This window comes from Homo sapiens, chromosome 4 (genome assembly GCF_000001405.40).
Source record: "Homo sapiens chromosome 4, GRCh38.p14 Primary Assembly".
Lineage (NCBI taxonomy): Eukaryota > Metazoa > Chordata > Mammalia > Primates > Hominidae > Homo > Homo sapiens.
Genome location: NC_000004.12, coordinates 151750704 through 151762165, shown reverse-complemented (window position 1 = coordinate 151762165; position 11462 = coordinate 151750704). Strand labels below are relative to the sequence as shown.

At 39.1% G+C, this 11462-nt stretch overlaps 1 protein-coding gene across 2 annotated transcripts in view, besides 1 other annotated feature; it reads left to right on the top strand.

The window, feature by feature from the left end:
• Positions 1159–11462, top strand: part of GATB (glutamyl-tRNA amidotransferase subunit B) — a 90504-nt gene continuing 80200 nt past the window's right edge. For both annotated transcript variants that reach the window (NM_001363341.2, NM_004564.3), the window contains exons 1-2: positions 1159–1359; positions 3244–3394. In NM_001363341.2, coding sequence (NP_001350270.1) covers positions 1184–1359; positions 3244–3394 — 327 coding nt within the window. In that variant the 5' untranslated portion in view covers positions 1159–1183. The remainder of the gene's footprint in view (positions 1360–3243; positions 3395–11462) is intronic.
• Positions 1164–1443: an enhancer, noted in NCBI's record as "active region_22022". NCBI's record gives its function as "activates an Ori minimal core promoter by ATAC-STARR-seq in GM12878 lymphoblastoid cells {active_cell/tissue: GM12878}" and the evidence as "EXISTENCE:reporter gene assay evidence [ECO:0000049][PMID:35858748]".

Genomic DNA, 11462 nt, shown 5'->3' with positions numbered 1-11462 from the left:
CCACCATCATATCCAATCCATCAGAGTCCTTCAATTTTACTTCCTATATCTATCTCAAACAGATCCATTTCTCTTTGGCTCTGCCACCACCCTAACTCATCATCTCTCCCCTAAACAATTACTGCTCCAAAGGGCATCCACTCCATCCTTTGTCAAATGCATTCTCCACACTGCACTACTTTATTCAACAAATATTTTTAAGGAACCTACTTTGTACTGTAGTGAATAAGACAGACGAGGAATTTGTGGAAATAGAAGATAAACATCAGGCAGTCAAAAGCACTACGAGGACAATCAAAGTCGGGTGATGAAATAGAGAGTGGCTAAATGACTATTCTAGACTGTGTTCAAACACAAGAAATCGGTGGCAGTTTTAACAAGGGGTATTAGTTTTGACACAGGAAAATGAAGGAAGTCCGCTGGGACGATGGTATCTGCTCCTAGCATATAAGGAGTGTGTTTCTGATACTGGCCAATAATAAAAAGGAGGTTAAAATGTACATGAACATTCAATCTAGGGCTGTTTGTCTCCAATTACCTCTGCTTAAACATAGCACTTACTACCTATATGGAAGTATCTTATTTTTGTTAACTTCTGTATGTCTCCCTTCTTTAGAATGTAAGCTCCATGAACATGCGGGCCATAACTGTCTTGATCTCTGCAGTAACTACAGTGCCTAAGAGAACTGAGCCTGGCATTACGGTAGGCATGCAAATAAGTATTTGTTGCATTAACGCACAAATTGCTGAGTGAAGCAGGAGAGTAGACAGAGAATATAACGGATTGGGTTTGGGGGCTGAGGAAGTCTCTGCTGAGCTGTCAAGGTCATTTACTTCCCCTTGCAAGGTTAACTGGGTTATAAAATCCCGGCCACGCTTTAGCACCAAGCATCAAGCGCTCACACTCTAACTTATACACACGCTCACAGCCACAAACCTCTCCAACTCCCCGCTAGGAGGAGTCACACCTCCCCACCCAGAAACCCTCCCACCCTCTCCTCTATTTCTCCTTCCCTCCCCTCTCCGCGGGGTTCCGGCAGGCTTCGAATCACAATGCTCGCCGGGAATAGTAGTCTTCCGGTCCGAGCCTATGGCGTTTTTAATGCATTTCCAGAACTACGCTTCCCAGGGAGCCTCGCGGCATAGTGAGGCTGAGTCACCTGACCAAGACCCTGGAGTTACAATGGCGGCGCCCATGCTGCGCTGGGGCTGCCGTGGAAGACGTTGGGCTTTCGCCCGGGTTGACGGTGGTTCTTGCCACCGAAGAGGGGCTCCGACTGGGTCCACATCCAACCAGATTAGGGGAGAGAGCTCAGTGGCTCAGCAGCCCCTCCACACGGCCCAGAAGACGAGGAAAGGGTATTCTGTTTCATACATTTCTGCCCACCTAACTGTGAGGTGGAACTGCAGGACTGGGGAAATAATGGCAATTACGGCCCAGCTTCTAGACGTTTTGGCTGACGGGAGGGCGTTGAGTTATAACCTGGAGCCCCGAAACCTAAATAAAAGCACAAACAGACTTTCTATCAACTCCGCCCCCATATATAAACCACTGTTTTCAAATAGATGTAGTTGGGGAATTCGCGAGTGTAAAATAGCAAATATTTTCTTGAAGGGTGCACAGACAGAAGAGTGGATTCGGTCATCTTACTAATAGCACTAGCAGTGGGGACGGTGACACGAGAAGCGGGATCATATTTAGCTGATTTTATTTAGCGCTAGTATGGGCTGGCAGCGTTCTAAAGGTAGAAAGGGAGCCTTTACCTACAAGCTCTTGGTAGTGGTGGGTTATTGTCATTAGTCAGAAAACACTAGCTATCTGTGCAGGCGTTTTATGTTGGAATATGTGTGACTAGACCTAGGAGGACGCAGCCAAAAGAAGAGATACTCCCCCTGGTTATATGGAGAGTTTTGCTTATTTGGCCAGATATCCCCTGAACAGCTGTTTATGCTTCATTATGTAAGAATTAAATAGTTTCTCTTTAAATACAGAAACATATGGCAAGTTTCTAATATTTTGTTTATTCTTTGAGACTAGTTGGCATTATTTTTACTTTCAGTTGGAGGAACAGAGGGAAATTGTCCAGAAAGAAGTATTCAGTTTTGTATTCTTTTCGTGAATTAGATTGTTTCCTTGTGAATGGAAAGTACATTTTTTCTCTCATGTAATGGAAATGCAAAAATACTTTGAATGGTGCTTTACTGCATGCAGAATTTCTAATGAGTTCCTACTTTAATTCCCCTCCCTTATGGGCTGTGTTTCCAAACTTTAAAAAGAAGGACTTATTCTTGCAGTACTTCAGATATAGAACTTTATATGTTGAAATGATTGAAACAAAACAAAACGATGTAAAATATGTATATATATATATATGTATATACACAAAATTACTTGGGAGAAGAGCAGGATAGGAACATACATGGATTTCATAGGGAATAAGCACATTTATAAGGACCTGGAGAGGCCTATGTACAGACCCAACAGAGTAGGACTGACCAGATAAGAGAGATTATTATAGCATTTAACAGCTTCTTAGATTTGATAGCAAATAAGCATTAAAAAAGTAACCTGAAATTAGGTCTCAGGAATTGAAAGTGATTTGGGGGACCAAAAATATGCCGCATCAGATGGTTTAGTGTGGTGGAGTTTTGCAAAATTTTTTTAAGAGTATCATTTAGTGGTGATTTATTGTATCTGTGTCTCTCTGGTTATTATACATGCAAACCAAAACATGGTTGAGAATTTCCTTTTTAAATAAGAGACGTGGAACTATTTATCATTATTTCTCTAGTAGTAGAATGTTGCCATTTATGTTAATTCTAGATAATGTGGGAAAGATCAGCTTTCATCATTTACTGAGTGATTACTTGATAAGTTACAGTTAATTTGTTAAATGCCGCTTTTCACTGAAGTCAGCCAAGCAGTTGTCACCTGATACCCATTTCTAAATTGTTTTAAGACGCCAAATTGTTCCTTTCTCTATAGCCTTCATGTTTATATCATCAGCCTCCTGATGCCATGTTGTAAATGAATTTTAGTTTGCCAATCTCAGTGTAGGCGCTTATTCTAAATTGTTTTTTATTTAGTCACTGATAAAATATGACACATTTTTAATGTGAGGATATAACATTGTATTAAGTTTAAAACACATATAGGAAATTAACATTTGTGGTTTAGACTTATAGAAATTCATTCATGGTGACAAATATAATACATCTTAACCATTATCTCTTTCTTCTTAGTGAACACAAATGGGCTGCTGTGGTAGGTTTGGAAATTCATGCCCAGATTTCCTCCAACTCTAAACTCTTCTCTGGATCTCAAGTTCGCTTTTCAGCACCTCCAAATTCTTTGGTTTCTTTTTTTGATGCATCTCTACCTGGAACTTTGCCGGTAAGATTCTTATTTAATCCTATTTTCATTAGAAAAATGTTTATTTTATATTGAACATGGAAAATTATTTTCTTGTTTTAATAATAACACAACTCTTTGGAAATACTTATTTAGGGAGTTTTGGGTGAAGCGGGATATATTAAATGTTTTCTGAAGACCCATCTCTGTGATGCTGTTTCTAAGTCTGAATATATTCATACATGTATTCATCACTTCACAAACATTTTAGCATGTCTACTAATACCAGACATTGGGCTTTGAGCTGGGTCATAAAGATGATCCTTGCCTTTAAGGAGTTCAAAAACTAGTAGGGGAGATGTGTCTTATAAACAAACAGAGAACAGTGTGATTCCTTCTTTGAAGGTAATATGCAGAGGATGATTTCGAAACCCAGAGGAGGGACAACTAATTCAGTAAAAGAAAGGACTGTTGTGAGAAATTGAAGTAGGGGTACTTTAGGTTAAGGAAGGGTTACTGAAGAGGTGGTGGCCTGAGCTATTTGAGAAGCCCAATAAAATTTAGGCAGATAAATGAAGGAGGAGGAGGAGTCAACTCAAAGCAAGCAGTGTATATTACATGATTTTACAGTGTAAGGCCAGTAATGATTGTGGTTATTGCAAATTAAGAAACACTCAATAATGTAGAAAACAGCCATAATATGCAGTGAGTTAACTATTGTACTCACTTAACCACTCATTTTTACTTGATCCTATGGAATGACTGGGCCCAGTATACTCATCAGCAAGACTTTTGGCATATATTTTTATATAATTGGTTGAATTTTTAAGAAAAGTATGAAGGGAACAAGTAAATGTTTTAGCTAATAAATAGCATATGGTCTGTCCAGGACCTATAATATCAACTGTGTTTGGGGTTTCCTGCCATCTTTGGAGGAAATGTGTATCCATGGTGGTGACAAAGGTGGGGAGAGGCAGACATTGTCATGGGTAAATTCCATGCTCTCAAACATTTAAATAAGAGTGGAAGCTGGTTGAGGCCGGGCGCGGTGGCTCACGCCTGTAATCCCAGCACTTTGGAAGGCCAAGGTGGGCGAATCACAAGGTCAGGAGATCGAGACCATCCTGGCTAACACGGTGAAACCCCATCTCTACTAATAGTAAACTGCAAAAAATTAGCCGGGCATGGTGGTGGGCTCCTGTAGTCCCAGTTACTGGGGAGGCTGAGGCAGGAGAATGGCGTGAACCTGGGAGGCAGAGCTTGCAGTGAGCTGAGATCGCGCCACTGCACTCCAGCCTGGGCGACAGAGCGAGACTCCATCTCAAAAAAAAAAAAAAAAAAAAAAATCTGGAAGCTGGTTGAACTGAGCACTGGCAGGCTTGCAGAGGTATACTTTTCTCAGTCACTGACCAAAGTGGAAGATTCTGGGCAGTGCCTCCAGTATGCCTGCCTCACTCAGCTTTGGTTGTATTGGGGCAGCATCTTTGTCTTGGAACTTTTCTCTTATCGCATTTTCTGTCATGGAGGACTCCCTTCCCTGCAGACCATATCAAGGATCACCTTTGATTTGCTGCTGGGTCCCTCTGGGAGAAGATAGATGTGGAGGTGTGCCCTCTTTCTCTCTCTCTGACTTAGAGATCTATCTATGGAAAGATTTTTTGTTTATTTGAGAAGAGTGAATATTTTGGTTATAAATATATGACATCTTTTTTGGGCAGAGATTCAGATATAGTAGAGATACAATAATATTTATTGTAAAATGGAAGGCAAGTTGTCATAACACCTCTACATTTTCCCTTCCAGATTCAAAACATTTTTTTCCCATGTTGTAGTTAATTATCAAGAGATTAGGCATAAGCTCTGAGTTCATCCTAGGTTTTTCCAGCTGTGAATGTGATGGCTATCAGGCCATACTTATTACAGTTCACTTTAGAAACAGGTCCATTTGCAGATAAGCATGTTTTCTGTATATAGACTCTCCAGCTGTACCTAAATTTGGTCAAAAATTAGACCAAATTAGAAAAATTCAAAATAATTAAAATGCCAACATTTTAATTGCTTTGTAAAACTTGTCATGCACCAAAAAAGAAGGTGCTTGTTCACTGATAAGCATATCAATAACACAGTGAAGGTGTTTGGGACATTTGAGTGTTGAGAGCTTGGCTTACATTAATTAAATGGCAGACAAAGTCTGGAAATACAGTTTTGTATGAGCTAGGATTTGTTTTCCTCTTCAGAGCCTACAACGCTTATGGTTTAAGTAGCCTAGATGGGTTATTCTGTAGACAGAGGAGATCTACCTCTTCTTCAGAAATGTTTCTGCCTTTAAGGGACCTCATTTTGTACGTGAGCAACATTATACCCAAACTCCCAGAATTAAGCATTGCCATTCAAAACATTTCAAAATCTTTTGATTTACCTCTAAATAGATTTAAAATACACTAAAACCTTTAGACAGTTGTCCTTCCCCTAAGCCCTATGGAGATGTATAAACATGCTCTGATAGCCAGACTCTGCTTATAACTCCATTCATAAGAAACCAATAATTTGAGAATATGTTTGTGCTTCCGAGGATTTTAGTAGAACATTATGTTATTGTTTTGGTCAAGTAAACCAAAGTGTAAGTGTGATTCATGATGATACTTGAAACTCTTTCTGCGCAGGGCTTATATTGCTCCCTTCTCTCCTGCTTCTTCCCCGCCCTCTACCTGGCTGATTGTGCCTTCTCACATGGCTGTGTTCTGCCACTCAGCCCTGAAATGTTGGTTTCCCATGCCCTATTCTTTGGCTCTCAATTCTTCTGTTACCTGTGTTCCCCTGAGTAATCTTTTTACCCTCAAATAAAGCTCCCCTCTCTCTTTTAGGCAAGAAACCTATATCTATTGTGTCCTACTATATATTTCCATCTGAATGATTCATAAACATCTTAAATTCAGCAGTTACAGTGTTAAGCCTGTTATCTTTTCTCCCCAAAGTTTCACTGCCTCCTGACGAAAGAATAAACCAACAAGGGAAAATATATGTAAGAAGAAGCAAAAATCAGTGGGAAAAGGATAAGTTATTTAACTGATGGTTTTGGAATTGGTTAGCTATTTGGAGAAAAAGTATCGCTCATTTCACACATCAAAACAAAGTTCATATATATATAATATAAGTTAAATGTCAAATTAAATCCAGAAATATCTAGGAGAATATTTGTTTGTCCTTGGGTTGGGGAGAAACTTTGTAGGCATAAAAGCAAGAAAAAACAGCTAATTAGGCAAAATGGCAATTTGACTACTTTATTCGCCCAACATGTTTATTGACGTAGTAATTCTTTTAGGAATCTGTCCTTGGAAAATAAACATGTGGGCAAAGACTTATATGCAGAGATGTCTATAGCAGATCTATTTTTAAAGGTAGAAAATTGGAAGTAACCACAGTTTCTCAGTGATGGGGGAATCATTGAGTAAATTATAATACATCAGTACAGTACAACATTATGAAGCCACTGATAATGTTTATAATAGACTTTTAGTGACATAGGACAATGCTAAAGATAAAAATTCTAGTGAGATGAATAGAATTTTCATGTAGATTACTTAATCTTCTTTGCATCAGTTTCTTATAAAATGGAGATAATTGACTCATTGGATTTGTGTGAGAATTAAATGAATCAGTACCTTTAAAACACTTAAAACAGTAATTGCATGTAGTAAGTGCTCTTATTAATTAACAGATAATTAACAAGTAATAACAGGTAATTAATTAAAAAGCTCTTAATAATAGGTAAGGTAAATCTTACCTGCTAGCATACCCATAATGATTGGTGGCTTTTATCTTTACAAAGGCTCTCCTGAGTTATTGTGCACAGTTACGTTGCCAGTGAGAGCAAAAGTAAATGCTACACATAACAATTGGTCACTTAACCTTGATTTCACCAGTTAAGTGATCTGCCAACAAAAACTAACCTGGGTATCTCATCACCTCAGAGATGTATAGAGAATTAAGTAAATAATGAAAACCAGTAAAAACTAGTATATGGATAAAATTATTTCTGAATTAGAAATCATTACTTTTATTGCGAAAAAGAAGGCTTATGAGCTTTTTTTTTTCCATCTGTAGTTATTTGGAGTGTTTCTTTGGTTCAACATGGTATTGGCTCTTGATTTAGTAAAAAATTAGGATTGTCACTTAAAACAATTGTTATAATGTATAGTCTTTCTGTAGACATTTCATTCTTCTTCTCTGTCGGTTGTGTCTTCATTCACTCAGCTGGCATATATTGGATGCCCACGTTATGCTAGCCCTTGTGTAGCTCTAGTGACACAGTTTTGAACTTGGTAGACGATAGATATGGGTGTTGCCCACATGGAGCATGAACAAGCAAGCAGGCAGTTGCACTACCTTTTAATAAACATGTTAGTCGTGGAAATACAAGGTGCTTGAGGAGCACATAGGAAGAGTATTCAACACAGATATAAGGAATTGATGAAATTGGCCAAGTAGAAAGTGAATAGGATGTACAAAGACCAGAAGAAAAACAACGTGGCTTGCTCTAGAAACTGAAACGTTTTCCATGTGTTGTAGCATAGAATTTGAATATGGGCATTGCAAGAGGTGAGGCTAGAGCAGAAAGCATAGCCTGTACCATATAAGCCCTGATAAAGGGTGTGGATCCCATTTGCAAAGAGGTAAGAAGACGTAAGGAGAGTGCAGGGCCAGAAACTCCAAGGAAGTGAGTGTTTTGAGAAGGAGGGAGTACAAGAACATTGGATGCTACTGAGAGGTCAAGTAAAGTGAGGACTAGGAAGTGCCCATTGGATTTATTAAGAAGGGTATCCTTTGCAAGAACAGTTTGAGTGGGGTGATGGAAACAGAAGGTAGGTGGCAGTGGATTGAGAAATGTCATGGCATGGAGGAAGAAGTGAGTGTGGGCAACTGTTTCAAAAAGTTTTACTATGAAGGACAACAGAATGCAGCAAGTGAAAGGAGACATAGAATCAAGAGAAAACATTTATTGGTCATGTCTTTCTTAATATTGGAGAGACTTGGGAATGTTTAAATGCTGATGAGTTATGTAGTCTATGATAGTGTACACTTAAAATGTGTTTAAGAGGATAGATCTCATGTTAAGTGTTCTTACTGCAATAAAACAAAATTTTTTAAAAATGCTGATGAGAAGGAGCCAATGAAGAAGGGGTAAAGACAGGAGAGGCTTTTGATTAATATGATCAACTGAACACATGCATTTTAATCCATCCTCTCTGTAACCCAGAGAAACCCCACTGAAATCATAGTGAAAGAATGCAAATGTGATAAGCCTACAAAAGAATGGGAGAGGAGACAAGAGTGTGTGAGAGAGAGATGGTAGGTGGAGGAGGGCCTCACTTTGCAGAGGATGCACTGTGACCTAAGTGCCTGCAGGAAGGGACACTAGCGAGAACTGAGATGATGTGTCCTACACAACCTTAAAAACGCTCAGGATGTGGGGGCGTCAAGTATTGTGGAAGGCTGGCTGAGGTGAAAACAAAGGGGTTGAGTCAGAGTCTGAGTACAGTGCAGTGAGATCTGAGCTTCTCTACCTGACCCTCTGCAGCTGCCCTACCCCCATAGGAATGTATAGTCTTTGGAGAAATTCAGCTCATGACACACTTTCCCTGAGGCCACCAGTCAGAGCAAAAGGCGGTATCAGACAGCATCTGTAGTGAACTCCAGGACCTACCCAGTTCTTTTCCCTGCCCCAGTGCGGGAACTTAGGTGGCCTGGTATGTCCATCTTTCCTCTTCCCCTCCTCCCCCAAGCAAGAATCTGCAGGAGCTTCTTTGAAGATTGTGTGACCCTAGTGGGAAGAACATGAGATATTGACATGGTGGGATGTCTCTCAATTTAAAAAAATCTGTCTGGCCACCTGATTGCTTTACAGTGAAGGCCACTGATGAATAAGCCCTGGGCATTTACATAGGACTTTTAATTGGCATTTTAGTATCTTACTTTAAAATATAGATTGAGAGCCAAAAATCACCAGGCACTTGAGGAGATTCTCCAACATGATAGACAAAGCTCAAAATAAAAAAGAAAACTAAAGGAAATAGGAGGCTATAGATAATGCACAGGGTAAAAGAATACTTAAAAAATTAATAGCTTTTATAAATGTCCTCAGAGAGATAAGGGAAGGTAGCTGCCTCTTTGAAACAAGAACACAATACTGCTTTTAAAAAATGAACAAACAGGATAAAAACGAGCTCTTAGAAATTAAAATTATGGTGCCTCTCCTTCCCCTGGGAAAGTTAGAAAATAATGTCAAGAAAATCTTCCAGAGATCAAAACCAATGTGCAGTGCATTGGACAATAGAAGAAAAAAATAAGCAAATTAGAGAATCAGTCCAGGAAGTTCAGCATCTGATTAATAAGAGACTCGTGAAAAAATAGAAAACAGAGTCAAGGAAACTCTCAAACAAAACACGTGGATTAATTTCCCAGAATTGAAGGACATATATCTCTAAATGGAAAGGGCCTGCCAACTACCCAGCCTGAGGAATAAAAATAGTCTAACATGAAGGCATGTCAAGAAACTTAATAACACTGAGAATAAAGTTAAGGTCCTAAAGCTTACAGAGAAGAAAAAAATAATCAGGTCCACATACAAAGGATTGGGAGTCAGACATCAGACTTTTCAACAGCAGCACTTATACCTGTAAGAGAATGGAACCATGCCTTAAACATTCTTAGGGGAAAAAAAATTATAATTCTAACCTAGAATTCGGTACCCAACAGTGTCAATCAGATGTGACAGTAGAAGAATGGTATTTTCAGACAGACTCTCAAAAAGTTTGCCTTTCATTACCCCAGGAACCTGCTGGAATAATAGAGAAGTTTCAGGTTGCCAGCTCTACCATGAGACCGTTGGAAGAGGAGGAAGGTGGCTCCAGAATAAAGAATTCTAGGAAAAAATGAGAGTAGGGAATTAACAGGTATCTGATTTGTGTGGAAAAAAGATTTCCATATAATCTAGCCTTTAGAGGAATGAGCAATAGGTACATAAAAAATGAAGCACATGAAAACAATGAAGGGCTTAGCAAGTCTAGGAAAAACAAAATGTTCAAGAAAGGAAATGTAATCATAGTGTTTTATTAGCTTAGGAGAGAAACATGTAAATAATAATAGAAGCACCAGCTACTGATTTAATAAAAACTGTGATATAACTTGGATATTGGGAAAAGAACTAAATTCTTACCTACCATAATTGGAAGTCATGTTCTAAATTGGTAAAGCAAGAAAAAAGTAACCTAAGTATAGGCTGTAGGAACATTTTTGGCCACTGATTGGAGGCCTCTTTCTCCTTTTCAGGCCTTAAGCCAGTAGATGGGTTTTATTTTGTTGTGTTTTTCTTTGGCGGTGAGGTGGGATGTGGGATTGTATTTGTGTTTTGTTTTGTTTTTTAATTAGGTGATGGGTAAATGATTTGGAGCTCCCAAGAAACAGACTAGTAGTCAAAAGCATTTTTAAAAACAAGATTTATTTTTATTTTATATACAAGATAACGTTAGGTAATAATCAAACATTACCTGTACTGGTTTCTCAGCCTTCTGCTGGTGAAGTGCTTTTCATTTTGTTTTGTTTTTTGTTCTCAAAGTCCAAATAATGAGTCCCCTACCACACCCCTGTTCTCACAACTCTTACCCTTACCCTGATTTTAGGAGAAATAGACTCATCCACATTCTAGATCCATCCATACTCAAGCTCATGCATGTAATGGCTCTGTCTGCTTCCCTGGGGGAGACATGACCTACCATCCTTTTTTCTAACTGACTTTATGGACTTTTATGTTACCCAACTTCTCATGGCAGGGCTTTTAGGGAGTGGGTATATTTTATTTTTGGATAGAAATATAATTTAGCAGCTAGGCACAGTGGCTCGTGCCTGTAATCCCAGCACTTTGGAAGGCTGAGGTGGTTGGATGGCTTGAGCCCAGGAGTTGGAGACCAGCCTGGGCAACATGGTGAAACCCTGTCTCTACAAAAAAAAAAAATACAAAAATAAGTCGGGCATGGTGGTGTATGCCTGTAGTCCGCTGCTTGTGGGGTTGAGGTGGGAGGATCACTTGAGCTTGGGAGGTGTACCACGGCAC